This window comes from Homo sapiens, chromosome 3 (genome assembly GCF_000001405.40).
Source record: "Homo sapiens chromosome 3, GRCh38.p14 Primary Assembly".
Lineage (NCBI taxonomy): Eukaryota > Metazoa > Chordata > Mammalia > Primates > Hominidae > Homo > Homo sapiens.
Genome location: NC_000003.12, coordinates 107,883,954 through 107,907,465, shown reverse-complemented (window position 1 = coordinate 107,907,465; position 23,512 = coordinate 107,883,954). Strand labels below are relative to the sequence as shown.

The window sequence follows — 23,512 nt, the reverse complement described above, 5'->3', positions numbered from 1 at the left end:
ATATTTTCCGATGTCCCACCATAATTCATGCTGAATAAGTCAGAACCTTATGAGGGGGGAAGATAAAATTTCAGAGAATGTGTGTGCGTTTGTTTACAGTTGAAGGTTTTTCAAATCTCTCTCTCTCTTTTTTTTTTAGTATTTTTAAATATGTTCCCCTATATCTAGCTATTTCTGTTTGTGCTACTGCATAGATTCGGGCACACTTCTCATCTTCAAGAGGGATAGCTCTTCTGTAGTTCTTAAAAATGTCTGTTGTAGCTTCCTGAGAATGCCTCTTCCACTTGCCCTGCTATGATGGGATGGGTTTGTGGACTCTCCTGGCTTTCCGTGGGAAGAGAAAAACTTCCAGATGAATTTAACCCAGTAGTTCCCCCACTACTTAGAAGTCATTTACTAGGTGCATATTTCCTATATTGTACTGTTTATTATCAGTATCCTCTTCCTCTCTCTCCTTTCCTACTTTACCCCTACTGCCCTATCTCTCTCTTTCAATATAATAAAAATGTCCACAGACATCTGTGCCCTGAACAGTTTTCTGTTTAGAGTTCATGTCCACTTGTCTTGCTTCATATACAGTGTGATTTGATGGGTGCATATGGCTATATCTGCCCCTAAACATCATCTATTTTAGCTTCTCCCAAAGTCTGAAATTTCCATGATTAAACAGTCTCCTCTGGCTCAAGGCATCTTCTCCTAAAGACTCCTGTACAAATACAGGTGATCTCCCCTAGGAAAGTTGACTCATGGGTAACATCTCCATGGTTTGTTAGATTCCTCCTTGACACAGTGTGGCAGCAGGCTCTCAAGGGCACCAAATTAGTCTGTGAAGGAAGAAGAAGTGTGGTTCGATAAGAAGAAAAATCCTTCTGCCCAGCAGGCCCTAACAGCCCAAGGAAGGGGGCTGTCCATGCATGATACTCTATGCTGGGATCATGGCAGTACTGGGCCATCAGACAAGGAAGAGTGGGGACAGACTGTTCCAAAGGGTGAAGAGAGAAACACCAAAGATGAACTCAACTTGTTAGCAAAGGGCCTTCAATGAGATCTACTGTTTAGTTTTGGAATTCATTTCTAAAAGGCATGCTTTATGTTTTAGGGACTTTCTATTTTTTGCAGCTTAGAAGAACATGTTTTCATTAAGGAGAACTGTGCCCAAGATAATGTTACTCAGAATGTTAAAGTTGACGTGCAGACATTGCCTTGAAAAGGATGTGTTTTCATTCCTTTGCTTGCTTTTAGAATCCCCGAGACAGGCACAGCCCTAGGACTCAAGGGTTTCCTTTCGTACTGGGGTTGAATTCCTTTCCCCTTCTCATTCCAGCCTCCCTGGGAGTGCTCTCCTTGGCCTTGGGGCTCTTCTCCCTTCTGCACAGAGCACCCCTAGATTGCTGGCTCCCTGTATCCTTCCTAATAAGACTCTGTTTAACCCGAAAATTTATTATTGTGCATTTTGAATTCTACTTTTATGAGAATGAAACAGCTATGTGAAATACACATAGGACACATAACAATTAAACAAATATAATCCCTTTTAAAATTTTTTATAAGATTACCCTATCTGTTTAAAGCAGATCTCTGCTTTAGAATAATTTGATATTTTTTTCCCTTCTTTTCTTTTTAAAAGAAGGCAGCAAGTCACAATGAAAAAAACTATGAGCTATGGACCTGGACACACATGAATTCGAACCAATTCTGTCTCACTCCTGAAATGTGGCTGGAGAAGTTGCCTAAGGTCTCTGTGAGCTGCACCCATTCAGCTTGACTAGAAATCGTTATGTCTTAGAGTTGTTGTGAGGATTAGGAGTAATTCTTCCATCCTAAGACTGCTTTGAGGACTTAAAAAGTTCATATATGTCAACTAATTAGCAAACTGTCTAGTACTTAGCAAAAGCTATAAATACCATGTACTCTTATTCATATTACTGATAAAAATCATAAGCTATAAGGAAGAAAAACTAGAGACAGAAAAATAAAATTAAGCCAGAGAACAGAGAAGAAACACTGAGCAGAGAGGAGTAAAGTTAGATTCTTTTTCACTTTGAGTTAAGGTCCCGACTTTCTGACTCTGGGCACTCAACAGCGGAAGAAAGATGAGAACCTCCTATGGCAGGGAAGATGGAGCGAGGAGGAAAATGACAGAGGAGAAGGGGGCATACAGGCTTTCAAGCAGCTACAGTGTGGAAGCATTTGGTAATAGCTTGAAAATGGAAAATGCCATTATCATAAAAGCATACAAACAAGGAAATAGAGTACTGTTCATTGTTTTAAAGTCACTTAGTCAATAACATTTATATTTTTGTCTGATTATGAAAGTAGTACATTTTCATATTGAAAAATTGGAATATGCAGAAAGACACAAAGACTAAAATGAAAATAATCTGTAACACATAGAGGAACATTCATCATTTAGGGTAAGTCCTTTTAGCCTCATCTATATCTATTTACATTTCTTCTAGAAATTTGAGCTTATTTTATGAAAGTAGTACAGCTAATGAGACAGCCAAGTAAAACGGGGTCACCGGAGGATCTCCTACTGGCCTGCACACTGGGAGGATGGGGTGGAGCCTGGGGAAGTTCATGCCATTTGCAGCAGGGAGGAGTCTGGATCGTCTTGTTCCTGTGTGGTAACCTGGGATTCAGTCAGTGAGGTGGACAGCCTGTTAGCAGGACTCCATCGCACTTTGCTGAGCTGTTTTTCCTTTTATCCTTTTCGCCCAATACATTCCATTCCCCCTCACCCTTCAAAGTGGCTGTGAGCCAAATCTTTCCTGGTCGTGTGACAAGAATCCAGTTTTGTCCTACAACACTAGGTTTTTACTTAATTATATATGAACATTATCTATGTCATGAAATATTCTAGCATATCTTTCTTTAAAATGTCCAATTAAAAATTCAAACATATGAAAATAGAGAGACACCAAAATAATAACCCTCGTGTTCCTATCACTCAAATTCAACAATTATCAACTCATGGCCAATTTTCTTTCATCCATACACTTATCTACTTTCTCCTACTCAACTCCTTAGATTATCTTGAAGCAAATCTCAGACATGAGGGAATTTTATCTACAAATATTTCAATATGTATGTATCTCTGTAAGACACGGGATTCTTCTAAGGAATAGAATTAAAATGGTCACACTTAAAAATTAAAATTAATTTCTTAGTATCATGAAATATAAATATGCTGCTTACTTTTTCCCGATTGTCATATCATTTTTTAACTGTTTGAACCAGGATCAGATTTTTGATGTTTAGAGATTAGGCCAAAACTCTGAGTTTAAATTGAAAGTATTAATATGAACTCACAATACATTTTATCTGAAACAAAAACTGTAGTTTTTTAAGCTCTGCATATTGAAAAAGCCTAGAGACAATGACTAACCCAGGAGCAAAGAACACCTCTAATGCCAACATTATAGACTCCAAATACCATTTTTCACTAAAAGAAAATAGGATTAATTGAAGAAATGTTGGATTCCAGGTCTGGGGCAAGAAAAGAACAAGATAAGCCTGAAACATCATATATCAGAAAGCAAAGAACGTGTGCAGGAATATTAGGGTGAAGTCCAAATGATTCAGGTTTTTGGTTTTAATTCTGTATATGTGATGAATCACATTTATTGATTTGCATCCCAGAATAAGCCCGCTTGATCACAGAGAATTAACTATTCGATGTGCTGCTGGATTCAGTTTGCTAGTATTTTGTTGAGGATTTTTGTATCTATGTTCATCAGGGATATTGACCCATAGTTTTCTTTTCTTGTCATGTCTTTGCCAGATTTTGGCTTCATAGACTAAATTAGGGAGGAATCCATTCTCCTCAATTTTTTGGAATAGTTTCAGCAGAATTTGTACCAGCTCTTCTTTGTACGTTTTGTAGAATTCAGCTGTGAATCCATCTGGTTCACAGGTTGGTTGGTAGGTTTTTTATTACTAATTCAATTTTGGAGCTCAATATTGGTTTTTTAACCAATTGTTCAGGGTTTCAATTTCTTCCTGATTCAATCTTGGAAGGTTGTCTGTTCCCAGGAATTTAATTTCCTCGATATTTTCTAGTTTGTATGCATAGAGGTGATCACAATGGTCTCTGAGGATCGTTCGTATTTCTGTGGGATTGGTTATGATGTCACCCTTGTTGTTTCTGATTGTGTTTATTTGGATCTTCTCTCTTTTTTTTCTTTGTTAATGTAGCTAGCCATCTATCAATCTTGTTTATCCTTTCAAAGAACCACACGATCGTCTCAATAGATGCAGAAAAACCTTTTACTAAATTCCAACATCCTTTCATGAGAGAAATGCTCAATAAACTAGGCATCAAAGGAACATACCTCAAAATAATAAGAGCTGTCTATGACAAATCCACAGCAAGCATCATACTGAACAGGCAAAAGCTGGAAGCATTCTCCTTAAGAACTGAAGTAAGACCAAGGATTCCCACTCTCACCACTTCTATTCAACATAGTACTGGAAGTCCTAGCCAGAGCAATCAAGCAAGAGAAAGAAAGAAAGGCATCCAAATAGGAAAAAGAATAAGTCAAATGATCTCTTTTCACAGATGATATGAGTATAAACATAGGAAACCCTAAAGAGCCCACCAAAAGGCTCCTAGAACTGATGAATGACTTTAGTAAAGTTTCAGGATACAAAATCAATGTAGAAAATTTACTAGCATTTATATACACCAATAACATTTGAGCTGAGAGCCAAATCAAGAACACAATCCCATTTACAATAGCCACAAAATAATGAAATACCTAGGAATTCATGTAACCGATGAGGTGAAAGATCGCTACAAGGAGAACTACAAAACACTGCTGAAAGAAATCATAGATGATACAAACAGATGGGAAAACATTCTATGCTCATGGATTGGAAAACTCAATGTCGTTAAAATGGCCATCCTGCCCAAAGCAAGATGAAGATTCAATGCTATTCCATCAAACTGCCAACATCATTTTCACAGAATTAGAAAAAAAATCTAAAATTCATATGGAACCAAAAAAGAGCCTGAATCACCAAAGCAATCCTAAGCAAAAAGAACAAAGCTGGTGAAATCGCATTACCTGACTATAAACCTTACTATAAGGCTACAGTAATCAAAACAGCATGATACTGGTACAAAAATAGACCCATAGACCAATGGAACATAATAGAGAACCCAGAAATAAGGCCACACACCTACAACAATCTGCTCTTCAACAAAACTGACAAAAATAGGCAATGAGCAAAGGACTCCCTATTTAATAAATGATGCTGGGATAACTGGCTAACCATATGTAGAAGAAATTGGACCCCTTCCTTATACCATATACAAAAAGCAACTCAAGATGGATTAAAGTTTTAAATGTAAAGCCTCGAACTAAGAAAATCCTAGAAGAAAAGCTAGGGACTACTATTGTAGATATTGGCCCTGATAAAGAATTTATGGCTATGTCCTCTAAAGTAATTGTGACAAAAAAAATTGATGAGTGAAACCTAACTGAACTAGAGCTTCTTCACAGCAAAAAAACAAGCAAACAAAAAAACTATCAAGTAAACACACACTACAGAAATGGAGGAGAAAATTATAGATGAAAAGGAGACTTAAGAGACATTCAAGCAATTACACTGTATACTACAATTTTAATTTATTCAAGCTGTTTTGCTGAATACCTAGTTGGTCCAAATTTTTGTTTTAATAACTAAGACTATGACAAATATCCTGTTACATGCATACATCTTTGCACAAATTTATGTTTTTTCCCTAACTGAAATTCTCAGAAGCTAAATTCCTTGGTCTAAAGTATATACTCTTTAAAGCATGGTACAATTTTGTTTTTATTCATTGGTGATTTAACAAATACCATGAGACTGGAACTCTTAGACCCTATGAGATAAACAAAAAAAAAAGGCATGACTGTTACTCTCTAATCTCAATTCAATTCGAGATATAAAAAGAGGATTTCAAATGGTGTCAAATTAGTGGGCTGGATTATAAGTACTAGAACAGTTAAGAGAAAAAAGAAAGTTCTATGGGTTGGAGTGATCCAGGAAAGCTTCAAGGAGGAGGTAGAATTTGAGTCCATGATTGAAGAAAGGAAAGATTCACAGAGTTGGAGGGAAGCATACAGACAATATCAGGTTACAGAACATACACAGGCCAAATTGGAGCCACAGTGGAGCTTGATTTGGACAGCAGAGTGTTTTTCTTGTTTAATTTTAATTAGTTGTCAATATTTCAAAATCAAGAGATTTCTTATGAAAAATCTGTATTTCTGACCTAATAGAAGACTGACCTGACAATACTGGGTGCACAGTCTTTCATGCTACCAGTTGACTGGAGTTGAAAATTGGCACCGCCATTTAGATGAGGCTTGCTCTCTCTAGCATTCTGTGGGCCCCACTTGGCCTATGGCACTCATTTATTTAACCTGTCCCTGTGAACTTGGGATCTGGTATATAGCATGAGGAAAGTCACATGGGTGGATGAGGAAGATCATGCCCCAAAGACATGTAAGTGGACTAAACTGGTCACTGTGGATGGGTCACACCTGGGAGTAGTATGAAATGATGTTGAAAAAGTAAGTTGGGATCAGATCATGAAAAGTCTTCCATGCCAGACTCGGAATTGCCCTTAAATCTTGCAAGAGAGTCTTTCCCTTAGCCTCGTGTTTGAGAAGGCCCTGCTCTGACCCTCCTCCAGCCATACCCCTCTACACAGGATTAGTAATCCACAGGGATAAGGGACCATGTCCACCTTCTCCCAGCACTGTCCTCCCCCTCTAGACCATGCTCATTCTCATGTTCAGGACCCTGGAATTTGCTGCCTCCATGGCCTTACCCCACTTCCAGGTCCTGAACAAGCCTCTTCTTCTAGTCCATCCTCTTAAGGATAGACCACACCACCAGCATACATCCCTAAATCCAAGAATGGCCAAGAGGTGACTGTTTGCAGGTGGAGGCTGGAGGGTTATGGACAGCATTTGACTGTAGGGTGGCTATTCACACACATGCCTATTTGGCCCCTTGTGGAATTGAGAGAGAAGAGGGGTGAGTCAGAGACCTTATTTGTATTTTTATTGCAGTCCTACAAATGTTATACCAATGTCTGATGGCCTAAAACGTTTTTAATACAGCATTCCCTAGGCAATGGGGAGCCAGGGATGGGTTTTTGAACACGGAAGTACCATGGTGAGAAAAAGAGTTAGGAAGGTTTCTTTTGTAGCTCTATAGAGGATGGATTGATTGGATTGGGAAGGGAGACAGGAAGCTCAGCTCAGAGGCTCTTGCAATAATGTAAATAAATAAATTATGAGTCAGCTGGGATGGGGATAGAAACAGAAATTCAGGAAAATTCAAACACCACTAAATTGCATGGCAGTATAATCTCCACTTCTGAAAAATTACAGTATTGCCCAAATATTCCAGATCTGCTTCTACGTGATAGTTCTATTGGCAAACCTCAGAAAGTCGGGTTTATAAAACCATGATGGTAACTAGATTAAAGAATCAATTAAAAATTTGTGGACTTTGTGCCTAGATATGATTTCAAAAGGACAGTTAAGGCAGAAGTGAAGTGTTCATTTAGAAGAGGGCACACAGGATGGCTATAACAGAGAAAACTTTAATAGTGAGATGTACCAGAAGTTGGTAGGAGAAAGCTAACAGTGAAATTGTGGTGATGGAGCAGAGAAAATTTTCAGCAAGGGAGATGGAAGGCAGATGGGAGTACTGTGAAATTAAAGAAGGAGGCAGGGTAGTTATTCATAGCTATTCTTCTGTTATAACTCTGAAATATGTGTGCTTAAAGAATAAATAGAAAGTAATTGATTTGAAATAGAAAAGCATTAAAGCTTAGAAATATGGAAACATGAGAAATGACCCTGAATTAAACGTGTTTGAAATGGTTTTTAGGGCTTTCTTTGGTCCATGTAAGTCACCTTAACAAAATATTTAAATAAATCATTTTGAAAAAATAGTCACTGGACTTTTTGAAAGAAAAAAGCCCTACTGACTCAAGGCAAACTGTATGGCTAAAAATTATGAAAACTGTTGTAGGACTCCAAAAGGCAGCCCTTGCCTCAAGGTGGGTGCTGGTTTTTGTTCCCCAGAGGGGGGTCATGTTATCAAACACCACTTGTCCCAAGTCCGGTTTTCTAGACGAGACCCTGCAAGGGGTGAAGTGACCAAAGGCGATTCTCTATAGAGGAGGACAGCTAGGCATGGTTACTAGCCAGCATTGCAGCCGCTGGGAGACAGGTGCACCAGCTGGTAAGGCAGAGCTGGCAGGGCACTGAGAGCCCCCACTACATCACCTAATCATCTTCAACCTGGTGATGCATCCCACCACGATGAAATTGTGTGCTTTCATCACAGTCAAAATTAAAAGACCATGAGGCAGCTTAGTGCAGAGAAAAGAATCCCTTTGATGGAGGTAGCTGACCTGGGAAAAGGTTTCTCTTCCACCACAACTATGAGATTTGGGGCAAGTCACTCGGCCCCTCTAAGCTTGTTTCCTCATTCATAAGGTCAGAAAAATTAAAAAGACTATTTTGAGAGTCAGACTAGGAAATTAATATAACATACATAGACAATATATTGATGCATGATATGCAAGTGTACCATATATTTACTTGTTTATATTAATAAGAAAAGATCTGGAAAACTATATGCTAAGCTTAACTGTAAGTTATCCCTGAGGGAGGGGCACTGTGGATGGTCGTAGAGAGAAGTACAACAGTGTGGTGAGCAGCGCTGACTTTGGAGCCAGGCTGTTTTTTGGACTCTGGGCAAGTTGTTTAACCTCTCTGTGCCTCAGTTTCCTTTTCTGTAAAATAGGGATAGGTAAAAACCTACCTCATAAGGTTGCTTTGACAATTAAATGAGCTTATATGTAAAAATCATTTACAATTTTGCCAGGCATGCTGTAAGAGGAATATAATTGTTAGATATTCATGTTCTTTTATTTTGCTTATTCTTGCCCCTAATTGTCTATAGTGATTGTACATTGATTTTACAAGAAAAACGTATAAAACATAGAAAAAAGTTCTTTTTAACATGTGAACTATTAATAGCTGGTAGACATTTTAATTAACCTTTATTTTAAATGGGAATAAAATAATTAAAACTGTCCAAGCAATACATCAAATAGAGAATAATGGTCATAAGCTTTCTACTGCTCCACTCAGGAGCATTAAGTTTCTTAGCCTTGAGGTTGATGTGTTTGCATGAGTTTTTGCTGCTATTATTTTTATCTCTCCTTTTGCACAGCAGTGGGAATCCGAAGTCCTGCCTTGCATTCTGTTTTTTCACAGCCAACTCTGTGTAAATGCAACATCAGTATTTCAACTTTTAGCAGTGGGGGTCATCTTGTATAGTTGTCTAAACTGTGCAGCGTTTTTTTTTTTATTTTAAGAGTATAAAACAGTAACAGCTGCTGTCCCACTCATAATAGACAAATGAATACAAAATGGCTGAATCATCAGCAGCTCCTGGCAGACCCTAAGACCTGTGGACAATAAACCTCTCCTGAGACCAGACACTTCGGTTACAGCCTTGTGCTGTCATGGCCACATGTGAACTCAGCACGTTCTCCACATACCAGGTGTCTCTTGCCTAAGGTGTGGGTTCAGGACAGGCAACTGCTGTTTTATCAAGAATATTCAGCTGGCTGAGCAAGGCCAATATTGAAAAAATTTATTATTTGAATTGTTCAATTCCCTGGGAACTTTCCTTTTATTGCACAGGAGGAATGAGGAAGTGACAGCACCACACATACACACACACACACTCACACTCTCACACTCACAATGCTTTAGGTCAAATTATCATCAAGGAGCCAGTAGGATTTCTAAGAGAAAATGGGCTGCTGCAATCATGTTTTCAATCTAGCCACTACACTTGGCAGGTAATTGCAAGCCAGGGGCAAGCCACAAATACCATTAAATACAGACATTATCGTTCCTGACACCCACAAGCGCCATCATAATAATGAACTACCAGTATACTCAGATTTCCTGATCACATGGACTATACATTTCACAAGAACTTTTAAAAGTCCAGACGAATGGAGGAACTCTCCAGGCTGTAAGATTTCTTTGGAGACTAGATGAATTCAGCGGGATAAAGTTAATTGAGGTAAAACAAAAATGGTGATGGATTTATTCTAAATTTAGAGAGCAGAAAGGTTTTTCTTTTTCAGTTCAGCTCTTTCCTTCCAAGATTTCTTTCTGTTTTTTTTCCAGTGAGTCTATTAGGAAGGCTCTCTAGACCTAATTGGCAAACGGAAATAAATAAATCATGGGCACCCACCCAAGCATTTTGAGGGAATTTATAGCCAGAATTGTGTACATATTGATCAAAACAGGCATCCTGCCACAGTCGATGAGGTCCCCGGCAGACAGACCTCAGGAAAACTGAGCAAAATTATAATACCATAAACCATAGAATCACTAAACATTTCAGCATGTATCACAAATAAAGCATTACAATTTTTATAAGAGGAAATTATTCCTGATAGAGCCACCAGACTGCTTGGAGGTGGTAGGCGTGAAAATATGAGATTCCAGGAAACTCAATTTATTTCCATGTTTCAAAAACCTTAAACAAGGCTTTATTTCAAAAGTAATTTAAAACATTGTCAGCCTGAGTTGGGGTGGGGACTTATTGGGGGAAATGTTCATTAAGAGATTTTGAAACAAGTCAAAGTTTAATTTAAAACATTGTCAGCCTGAGTTGGGGTGGGGACTTATTGGGGGGAATGTTCATTAAGAGATTTTGAAACAAGTCAAAGTTTAGGGCCGAATAAGTGTTTTTCTGGAGAAAGAAGCATACAAAGTAGCATCTCTGGAAAAAAGTGCCACTTAATATATTTTATAAATGATCAGGAAGAGGGAATACAGAAGAAGGAATACCTTCAGGGTTGCAAAGACAGTAGATGTTTCTAGGTGGTTTAATGGTAACTGAAGGAATCAATTGAGTCTGTATGGAGTACAATATGACATGAGAGCTTCAAGATGGGTCACTCAGAGGAAAAATTGCTTCCAAAATTATAGTCTCTGACATAATTGGTTCAATTAACAAATATTCAGTGTCTTTTATGTGCAAGGTACATGTATGCAAATTCTGGAGCAGGGCAACATTGCTTTACAAAGTATCCTGAAGATGTGGGGCCAATGTGTTGCTAAAGCCAAAAGGGACACTAAGCTCTAGTTATCATTAGAGTGAGAACCAGAAACAAATTGGAAAATGTCTTTAACTTTTAGACAAAATCGTGGTGTGTGCATATCTGGAAAACTGGTTCAATTTTGGACATGAAATGTAGCGAAGCAACTGAATAGGGAAAATATCCTGGGAGGTCAGAGAGCCTGATTCACACATAAGGGGAGACACAGATCTTAACACTGGGCTAAGAAGAAATCAATATCTGTTCAATGACATTTCAAGGGCTTCTGAGAAGGTTCATATGACCTTAATCTCTATCCTTCCCTTCTTATGCAAACTTCTTAATAATGTATATCTTTTACATTTCCAATTTTGATTTTCTTCCCTCCATTTCAGTCTTTAATCATTTAATCAAGTATCTGCACTCATTGCTCCAATGAAGTAATTTTCTAAGGGAATTAACAATTTCCTAACTCCAAATCCCATAGAGAACTTTTCTTCTCATTGATTTGCTCTTTCTCCATTGGCCGTTCCCTTCTTAAAGTTCTCTTCTTCCATAGCTCCTGTGGTGCCACCCTCCCTCGTTTGCTTTCTGCCTTAGATTATTTCTTGTCCCACTAATGGCTCCTTACCATCTGCTTGCCCCCTCAGTTAGGTCATGCCTGCCTCTTCTCACTCTACATGCCCACCTATGATCCTAATCATGCTCATGACCTGAATTACCACCTGTTCTCTGATGAGTTTCACAATCCTGCTCTCTTCTCTGGACCCCAGCCCTCCTCTGAGCTCTAGATCCGTATTTTTGATTGTCAACTAGACATCCCAGCTGTAAGTCCTTAATAAGTACAGAGACAGCATGCCTAAAATCAAACCTGAGTCTCCCTACACCCTCAACCCACTCCTCCTCAATCTCTGTGCCACTGGATGGAACCACTACCAGAGACCTTATGGGCACACATTGGGTTTTGGATGAATTAACAAAAGACAGCACTTCTCTAGCCTGCTTCACCCCAGCACCAGAGAGGACAGTGGTGCTCGGAGAAGACTTTAGCTTTCCCACCCCCTCTGCTGGGTATCGTTGTGAAGGACACAGATGGAACAACTGTTGGTGGTAAGCAGTCCCGCCATCTCCTTATCACTCAAACAAAACTGAAAACACTGAGTCATCACTTCTATAACTACTCAGTCATCAAGTTCTGTCCATTTTATCTTAGAAGTGTCCGTACTATATTCCCCAACAGAAATATATGTTAGGGAAAATGCTTTTGCCTAATGTACCAACCTTCAGTTCATAAAGTACAGATTAGCAAAGCTTAATTTCTTTCTTATTTGTTGAAAAAAATAATTATCAATACAAGTTCTCATATTTTCTTTCTCAGCCTAGTAGATAACTCTGTGTAGACTGATTTATCTCACTTTGGAGACTACTGGTAATGAAGTCCAAACTCCATAGCGTAATGTACAAGACCTTTTATAAGTGGCAACAGAATGCCTTTCCAGCCCCTGTTTCATTACTCCATGCTTACTCCACCAAGGCCATGGCACGTGGTGTTTCTTCAATGGATCCACATAGCTTCATGACTCTGTACATTCGCACATGCCCTGGGTCTCTGGAATCTCCTGACTCCTCCTTTCCTTAGTGCCCTTTTTATCGTTCAAGGTTTAGCTCAGATTACTTCTTCTGTCAAGCTTCCTCCAATCCTTCTCTCACCTTCTACCTACCCAGCTGCCATCCAGGGAAGAGTTGCTCCCTACCTGTGCTGTGGCCCCTAGCTCCTTCCTCCTACCTGAAGTATGTACAACAACCCTCTCACACTAGTTGATTACTCTTTTTTTACATGCATTTCTCTCCTGTTAGATTTTTCTCTCTTCGAAATAGAAATCATGTCTTATCCATCTTTGTATACCAAAGACTTAGGATTGTTTGACACATTGTATGTGCTTTGTGACAGTTGAATGAATGAACAAATACATGAATGAAATACACCTAATTGAAGTTCTCTTCAAATATATTGGGCTGTCCCAGGAAGCTGGAAGTTCCTTTTCTCTGTGTCCAAGCAGAGGCTGATTGAAGGAATTCAAACATTAACTACATATGTGGAATAGAGATGCTTTGACATACATGAATAACATGTATGTGCCAACAAGACCCTCTGTAGCCCTCTGAGTTTGATGTAATGACAGACATACATGACTTCCTTCTGACCACACTCTCGTCTGGGAGAGACCTGGGCTGTGAAGTACAGAATTAGGAGAGTATTAATTATCCCCGCATAGTTAAGGTTTTTGAGTTGATCACTCACAGATGCCTAAATAATAAGCCTAACCTTTTATCTGGAGCATCAAGAGAAGCTCCTTTCATTTTCAGAGAACAAGGCATTTCCTCTCCACATAGCGCTCCAGACACACAAAGGAAAAGTAGAGATCACAGAGCATCAATATAGTCAAAAACCTAGAGGCTTATCCTGCTTTTCCCATACAGAAATTTTTAGACATTTTAACAGGAAATTTGTGGCACAGATGGAAAACAAATTTCATCTAAGTTAAGCAGAGTAGATGAGGAAAAAAAAAACCCTCAAAGATCAAAAAGCTGTGTAAGAGATACTCTAAGGACCCAGATTATATAAATGCCTGTAGGCTACGACTGTTTTCATACAGTGCTATTAAGGAACCTGCAATTAAGGTGTTGGAGGTTTTTCTTAAATACACACACACACATCCATACACTCACAGGGAAATCAATCTCCTCTCATAAAAGAACAGTGGTAGGTGTGTGGAGCCGTTTCTGTGCCCCAGGAAGACACAGCGCTTCTCCTGGAAATGCAGCCCCCCTCAGGTCAAGTCGATCTAACCTATGGAAAGATAAAATTTGCTGCACCACTGAGAGCTCGCAGACAGCAACACCTCCCTGGGAGCCTGCCACTTCTACAAACCCCAAACAAAGAGGTATGAAAAACCCTGCCACTGAGCAGGGGAAATGTGTTTTCCTATCTGGAGCCAAGGCGGGGATTTGTGTGACACTGCTGTCATTCCCTAACTGAATTACACACATGGGCTGCACACCTGCAGCCTCTCTAGCTTCAGGCCTCCATGCCTTGGCTTAGCCAGATTGCATTAAGGGCACAAACGGACTCCAATTTCAGCAAGACCAATGTCACTGCCAGTGCTCTCTTCCCAGTGCTGACTCACAATTAAAGTGTTTGAATAATTTAGACCCACTGTCGTCTAAAAAATCCAACTTACACTTGGATAAATGAGACTCACCCAAAAAAGCAGGATATGGGGAGAACCAGAATTCTAAATCATTTCCTTATGATAGTAGCTCTCAGAGTGTAGTCCCTGGACCAGCAGCATTGGCATTAACTGGGAACTTATAAGAAATACAAATTCTCCAGTGTACATACTCCAAAACATATAGTACATACCCAATACATATGATTTTTTATTTGTCAATTTAAAAAAATAGAAAAGAATAAAGGAATGAAAAAAACCCACTCTAGACCTCCTGAATCAGAAACTCTGGGGGACAACCCGGCAATCTGCATCTTAAGTCTTCCAGGTGATTCCCACTTAGCACCTGGTAAGTGAGATGCCGTAGAGATGAAAGTCATGTATGATCCCATTCTATGGCTATTTATAGAATAATATGAATGCTAGAGCAGAACCTGGCTGTTTCCAAAGGTTAAAAAGCAATTATGCTTCTACACTTTCAGATGAGAATTTGCAGCTTCTTGGCTTACCTAACTGATTTCAGAAACCATGGTTAAAATCCCAGAGAACATCTAGCCCTACTTGTTAGGCTGATGGCTGCTGTGACGTTTGTGCAGCCTGCATCCCTTAACCTTAAACTTTCCAGGGATGCATTATAACTGAGTCTAGTTCATCACGTTCCATATGGGATGAATGCTTTCCTAGAGATGAGGAAACTGCGCACAGTCAGTGCTCACTGTGTGTTGATAATAGGTAACCGTGTTTTGGTTGTGGACATACACAAAGCCCCACAAAGAGGAAAGTAGTTGTCCCCCAACCAACAGCCACATCCAAGCATCACAGAATAGCACGAGCTTCAGGGCAAAGGCAGGTAGAGAACCACAATATTGTGGCATTATTCCCTCCTGTCACTCAAACTTCTTCACTTAGAAAATGTAAACTTTCTTCAGAATTAAAGAGGTGGAGGACCCATGGCTTCCACTTACATTTAAAATAGCCTCTCAATTCAAGGCTTTTACAGCTATTAAGCTAATGTTAGTACAGTGCTTCTGACTTACAAATGCAGAGAGCTAAATAACTGCATGTGTAATATGATTAAAAGCAACAGGAAGCAAAATGTCAGGGTAGAAAAAAACACAAATCCTATATCTCATTGTTCTTCTGACATGCTTGCTCTGTTGCACAGGTGTCATTAATCCCAGGGAACTGACCTGTAATTTCTTTAATCATAATCACCGAGTATTATATTAAATAGCTCTGAGGGTAGGATTTTCTTTTCTCCTAATGTGTAGTGAAAAGGATTTCTGCAATCTGGACATTATGCACAGACTATGGTGGCAGTTGTGTGACAACTTGAAGATAAAATGTGACTGTGTTGAGAATGTTGAAGTGAATAGATGGAAAGAACCTGAGTCCCTACTATGGTCACTGAGTCACTGGATCAAAGCTGGAACTGCCTACCTACTACCAACACACTGACATGTAAAATAATTAAATATCTGTATTGATTAAGTATTGCTGTTTGCAGCCCAGGTCATTTGAAATTGAGATATAACCATAGGTCAAAAATTTTGTTTTAGTTTTTGGTTTAGAAAATATCAATGTAAATTTTGGTTAATCAGTAAGTCATCAAAATATTTTTTGGAAGAGATTTCCTGCAAGTTCCTTTCTCTCCATTCACATTGTCACCTTATGTGATATGTGGATCAAAACCTGTTTGGGACTAAGAATCTTTTTCATAAGGAAGCTTAATATTAATTTTTATTTTAGAGACATTATAGACAACAAATGAGGAAAATATAAAATAATACTTATTGATCAATTTGTATATATCAGGAGCTTTTATTCTTAACTTCCTCATAAATAATAATTGTTGTTGTTGTTATTACAATAATTATAATTAGAAATGGGGAAACTGAAGCCCAGAAATGTTATGAAACAATATGTCCAAAGTCTCTTTAATAGGAGTCAGGGTCAGGACAAGTCCCATAATCTTTTTTTTTTTTTTTGAGACTGAGTCCCTCTCTCACCCAGGCTGGAGTGCAATGGCATGATCTTGGCTCACTGCAACCTCCATCTCCTGGGTTCAAGTGATTCTCCTGCTTCAGCCTCCCAAGTAGCTGGGATTACCACCATGCTCGGCTAATTTTTGTATTTTTACTAGAGACAGGGTTTCACCATGTTAGCCAGGCTTGTCTCGAACTCCTGACCTCAAGTGATCCGCCCGCCTCGGCCTCCCAAAGTGCTGGGATTACAGGCGTGAGCCACTGGGCCCAGCCAAGTCCCATAATCTTAAGGCAATGACTCCATTCTTTCCTCCTTACCCAAACCCTCCCTCCCCCACATTCTTACAGAACTTGGCTTATTCTATTCATGAAACTCTTTACATATTGTCTTTCAATATAGATATTTGTATAGATGAATGCACGTAATCATTGGCAATATAATGAATATACAGTCCAAAGCTTATTTACCTACCTTTATTTATTTGCATACCTTTTTTTTTTTTTTTTCAGTTTGAGCCCTTGAGAACAGGGACTGTGGACCTGAGAAATTATGCCTGCACACTGAGGTTCCAGTAACTTGAGTGCCTGGTGCTTGATGAGAAACTTACATTCCTATTAGGAAAAGTGTAAGTTTATAACCATTTCTCGGAGTTAGAGTTTTTATAATAAAAATGTTATTAAAATAAAGATTGAAGTCATTAATTTTAAAAACTAAAAACCTTAGTGGATGACAAAGGTAAAGAGTTGGGGATAAAATATTTTGCGAAATTGAGTTATTGTTTCACCATTAAAAGTGATAGGGTATAGAATAATATGTTTTTGAATAAGACTGTGAGTAGGAATTTGCCATGTTATAGGTTCTATAAAACTCTTGGTACCCTAAGGACATCTCACAGATGGTAATGGTTATTATCACCCATAAAAGTACCAGTGATGAGATCATCAGAATACTGTCCAATCTAAATCTTAGTAAAATAAAAAGTATTAACTAATATAAAAGCAAAGTACATGAAAGTTAATTATATTCATCTGCCAGAAAGTTTAATATACATATACAAGTATTACTTATAATAACAACTGGGCTTAAATAGGGTAAAGGCTCAAAATATTTTTCATCTCATTCCTTTGAAAAGTACCGATTTTATTTTAGGTAGATGAACATAAGAAAGGAATAAAAAACACCCTCCACTTTAATACTCAGGTACTTTTCAAGAACCATCTAGCTGTTGTTCTAACTGCCTAAAAATAAAAATGATTTAGGAGTAAGAAAGTTTGAAACAATCTTTAAGTCAAGTAGTATATAAAAGCAATTACAGGGGGTAACATGTTCTACGCTATGTGGAGAAAACTGTATAAAAATGTCCAAATAGTAGCAATAAAAAGACAATAAACTTCATCCTCATGACCAGTCAGGAAATGAAAGATCTTTGTACAGGCTATGCTTTGAAAAAGTTAAAAGTGCTCATGAGTTAAAGACATTGCTGATCATTACAGCTTCCTAGAAAGGATAAGGGGGGGAAGGTATATACAACATAAAAGTAGTCGTTTTATAACTTTTTTTCCATTTCTTTGTACATGGGATTTCATGAGGAAAATAAAAGGCACATGGGGTTTGTTCTCATGTTTAGGTGCAAGCAAGCTCTGTACAAAAGTGACAGTGTAGTCACACATCCTTGTCCTCCTTTATCATATTTTCTGCACTTATACTTCCCTTTTGTGTTGTACCCTCTGCCTCTGCATGGTGCGAAAGCTTCTCTTTGTAGATCCCACCTGTACCTGTCTCCCAAGAACAACTCTATGTCTTTGTCTTCTCTATTCCTGTCTTTCCCTAGCAGCATTAACCTACCCCGAACTCCATTCTCTTAGTCTTGCTAAGTAACTTGCCAAAAGGATAAATCATATAAGCCAAATATGTCTCTCACTGATAATAGCAAAATGTGTTATCCAACCTAGAAGACATTTCATTTTTTTTTTTTTTAATTTTTTTTTTTTTATTATACTCTAAGTTTTAGGGTACATGTGCACATTGTGCAGGTTAGTTACATATGTATACATGTGCCATGCTGGTGCGCTGCACCCACTAAAGTGTCATCTAGCATTAGGTATATCTCCCAATGCTATCCCTCCCCCATCCCCCGACCCCACCACAGTCCCCAGAGTGTGATATTCCCCTTCCTGTGTCCACGTGATCTCATTGTTCAATTCCCACCTATGAGTGAGAATATGCGGTGTTCGGTTTTTTGTTCTTGTGATAGTTTACTGAGAATGATGGTTTCCAATTTCATCCATGTCCCTACAAAGGACATGAACTCATCATTTTTTATGGCTGCATAGTATTCCATGGTGTATATGTGCCACATTTTCTTAATCCAGTCTATCATTGTTGGACATTTGGGTTGGTTCCAAGTCTTTGCTATTGTGAATAGTGCCGCAATAAACATACGTGTGCATGTGTCTTTATAGCAGCATGATTTATAGTCCTTTGGGTATATACCCAGTAATGGGATGGCTGGGTCAAATGGTATTTCTAGTTCTAGATCCCTGAGGAATCGCCACACTGACTTCCACAATGGTTGAACTAGTTTACAGTCCCACCAACAGTGTAAAAGTGTTCCTATTTCTCCACATCCTCTCCAGCACCTGTTGTTTCCTGACTTTTTAATGATTGCCATTCTAACTGGTGTGAGATGATATCTCATAGTGGTTTTGATTTGCATTTCTCTGATGGCCAGTGATGATGAGCATTTCTTCATGTGTTTTTTGGCTGCATAAATGTCTTCTTTTGAGAAGTGTCTGTTCATGTCCTTCGCCCACTTTGAATCTCACTCAAAGCCACTCAACTACATGGAAACTGAACAACCTGCTCCTGAATGACTACTGGGTACATAACGAAATGAAGGCAGAAATAAAGATGTTCTTTGAAACCAACGAGAACAAAGACACCACATACCAGAATCTCTGGGACGCATTCAAAGCAGTGTGTAGAGGGAAATTTATAGCACTAAACGCCTACAAGAGAAAGCAGGAAAGATCCAAAATTGACACCCTAACATCACAATTAAAAGAACTAGAAAAGCAAGAGCAATCACATTCAAAAGCTGGCAGAAGGCAAGAAATAACTAAAATCAGAGCAGAACTGAAGGAAATAGAGACACAAAAAACCCTTCAAAAAATCAATGAATCCAGGAGCTGGTTTTTTGAAAGGATCAACAAAATTGATAGACCGCTAGCAAGACTAATAAAGAAAAAAAGAGAGAAGAATCAAATAGACACAATAAAAAATGATAAAGGGGATATCACCACCGATCCCACAGAAATACAAACTACCATCAGAGAATACTACAAACACCTCTACGCAAATAAACTAGAAAATCTAGAAGAAATGGATACATTCCTCGACACATACACCCTCCCAAGACTAAACCAGGAAGAAGTTGGATCTCTGAATACACCAATAACAGGCTCTGAAATTGTGGCAATAATCAATAGTTTACCAACCAAAAAGAGTCCAGGACCAGATGGATTCACAGCCGAATTCTACCAGAGGTACAAGGAGGAACTGGTACCATTCCTTCTGAAACTATTCCAATCAATAGAAAAAGAGGGAATCCTCCCTAACTCATTTTATGAGGCCAGCATCATTCTGATACCAAAGCCGGGCAGAGACACAACGAAAAAAGAGAATTTTAGACCAATATCCTTGATGAACATTGATGCAAAAATCCTCAATAAAATACTGGCAAACCGAATCCAGCAGCACATCAAAAAGCTTATCCACCATGATCAAGTGGGCTTCATCCCTGGGATGCAAGGCTGGTTCAATATACGCAAATCAATAAATGTAATCCAGCATATAAACAGAGCCAAAGACAAAAACCACATGATTATCTCAATAGATGCAGAAAAAGCCTTTGACAAAATTCAACAACCCTTCATGCTAAAAACTCTCAATAAATTAGGTATTGATGGGACGTATTTCAGAATAATAAGAGCTATCTATGACAAACCCACAGCCAATATCATACTGAATGGGCAAAAACTGGAAGCATTCCCTTTGAAAACTGGCACAAGACAGGGATGCCCTCTCTCACCGCTCCTATTCAACATAGTGTTGGAAGTTCTGGCCAGGGCAATCAGGCAGGAGAAGGAAATAAAGGGTATTCAATTAGGAAAAGAGGAAGTCAAATTGTCCCTGTTTGCAGACGACATGATTGTTTATCTAGAAAACCCCATTGTCTCAGCCCAAAATCTCCTTAAGCCGATAAGCAACTTCAGCAAAGTCTCAGGATACAAAATCAATGTACAAAAATCACAAGCATTCTTATACACCAACAACAGACAAACAGAGAGCCAAATCATGAGTGAACTCCCATTCACAATTGCTTCAAAGAGAATAAAATACCTAGGAATCCAACTTACAAGGGATGTGAAGGACCTCTTCAAGGAGAACTACAAACCACTGCTCAAGGAAATAAAAGAGGACACAAACAAATGGAAGAACATTCCGTGCTCATGGGTAGGAAGAATCAATATCGTGAAAATGGCCATACTGCCCAAGGTAATTTACAGATTCAATGCCATCCCCATCAAGCTACCAATGACTTTCTTCACAGAATTGGAAAAAACTACTTTAAAGTTCATATGGAACCAAAAAAAGAGCCCGCATCGCCAAGTCAATCCTAAGCCAAAAGAACAAAGCTGGAGGCATCACACTACCTGACATCAAACTATACTACAAGGCTACAGTAACCAAAACAGCATGGTACTGGTACCAAAACAGAGATATAGATCAATGGAACAGAACAGAGCCCTCAGAAATAATGCCGCATATCTACAACTATCTGATCTTTGACAAACCTGAGAAAAACAAGCAATGGGGAAAGGATTCCCTATTTAATAAATGGTGCTGGGAAAACTGGCTAGCCATATGTAGAAAGCTGAAACTGGATCCCTTCCTTACACCTTATACAAAAATCAATTCAAGATGGATTAAAGATTTAAATGTTAGATCTAAAACCATAAAAACCCTAGAAGAAAACCTAGGCATTACCATTCAGGACATAGGCGTGGGCAAGGACTTCATGTCCAAAACACCAAAAGCAATGGCAACAAAAGCCAAAATTGACAAATGGGATCTAATTAAACTAAAGAGCTTCTGCACAGCAAAAGAAACTACCATCAGAGTGAACAGGCAACCTACAACATGGGAGAAAATTTTCGCAACCTACTCATCTGACAAAGGGCTAATATCCAGAATCTACAATGAACTCAAACAAATTTACAAGAAAAAAACAGACATTTCATTTTAATGGCTTATGCCAAAAAGAAAATAACAAGGCCAAAAGAGGAAAATTCCGTAGCTTTGTTTGAAATTTTTTTCAATTAAACTTTCTTACTCAGATTCCTAAACCCTCCCTAATTCAACGAAATCTCGACTTTTTAGTCTCATCAACTAGTTCCACGTGAAAACACTAGATGTTAGAGTCTGAGATCTCCCTACCTGAAAAGATGCTTTCATATAAACACACACACACACACACACACACACACACGCACGCACATGTTAAAATTTAATAAACTGAGTCTTTAAGCCGAAGTAGAAATTTTCTGTGATTGTATTTGTTTTTTATTTTTGCATAAAAAATTACTGCAAACATAGCAACTTTAACCAGCATCCATTTATGAGCTCAGAGTTCTGTAGGTCAGAAGTCTGGGCAGGCCCAATTGAGTTCTCTGCTTAGGGTTTCCTAAAGCTAAAATCAAAGTGTCAGTTTAGGCTCTTCTTTGGAGTCTCTGGGGAAGAATTCCTTCCAAACTCATTCATACTGTTGGCATAATTCCATTCCTTGTGGTTATGATGGAGATCTCCATTTCCCTGGAGGCTGTCACTTAGGGAACCACTCTCAGCCCTTAGAGGCCACTCTCAGCTCCTTCCCCTGGGGCTGTCTCCATCTCAACAACAGACAGCTTCCTGCACATTCCTTCTCTCTCTTGCTTTACTCTCTGACTTCCTCTTCTGCTACCAGCCAGAGAAAACTCCCTTCTTTTAAAGGGCTCATGTGTTTAGGTTAGGTCCACCTGGAAAGCTTTCCTGTCTTCAGGTCAACTAATTACTAACCTCAGTTACTCTGGAAAATCCTTTTTTTGCCACGTGAGGTAACATAATTTCAGGAGTAACACCAGGGGGCAACGTTCATTGGGACCATCTTAGAATTCTATCACAGTGATCTTACAGAAATTTGCTTACAACACTTTTATGGTCTTCTTCATTTTTGCCTTTTAGTGTAGGTGATTTTTGTATATGTCTTGGCTCTCTCTACTAGAATGATAACAACTTAAGAGCAGAAAAGATGTTTTTGTTCTCCAAAAATTACTTTGGGATAGAGCTGAGACACACAAAAAAAGAGGGTGCTGAATTTCTTATGTCAAATCAGGCAGCAAAGATGTAAGTTACAATATAGCTAGAGAATTCAGATTCCATCTATGGAAATCAAATAATACAAAGTTGAAAATGTAGGTAAAGATGAAACTTGACAGACACATGATAAATTGAGTTGTGAAACTAAATTGTATCCCAGTTGAGATCTACAAGCTTGGAGTGTGCCAGGGATGAAGCAACTAAAACCAGATTATAGGAGGAGACTTGGAAGGTATTATTTGGTGGCTTAGGAAGTACCATTCTTTAAGTAACACCTAGATAGTGTCCCCAGGCCACAGTCCCTACCCCAACCTGAGTTGGTAACCTTCTGATGATCCCAAGTTTTACACAAGTAACCACAGCAGGCCCTTGATGATGGTTACTTGGGTAACCATCCTCTTAGTTGGGTAACTAAGTGTCCAACTCCAGGAAGTATAGATTTAAGTGGAATTGATTTTTGCATGTGTAAGCTATTTTATAGTCATTGTGTTGCTTCATATATGCTTTATCTGCTTTAAGATGTTTGAAATGGATAAGAGAATCTGCTTTATTAAATTTGTCTAATTTATTAAATTTATTAGATTTTCACAAAGATTGCAAATATCTTGCATGTTAGACTTGTAAGTTTGCTTAATAGGTGTTTGAATTATTTGGGAGAACTGGTTTTCAAATTGGTAATAATTGTTTGAAATGTCTAAAAATATCTAGTTAATAAAGTTTCTATATACTG

The 23,512-nt window shown here is 38.6% G+C and overlaps 1 long non-coding RNA gene across 1 annotated transcript in view; it reads right to left on the bottom strand.

The window, feature by feature from the left end:
- LINC00636 (long intergenic non-protein coding RNA 636) overlaps positions 1 to 23,512 on the bottom strand; it is a 45,703-nt gene that overhangs the window by 21,442 nt on the left and 749 nt on the right. The window lies entirely within an intron of this gene.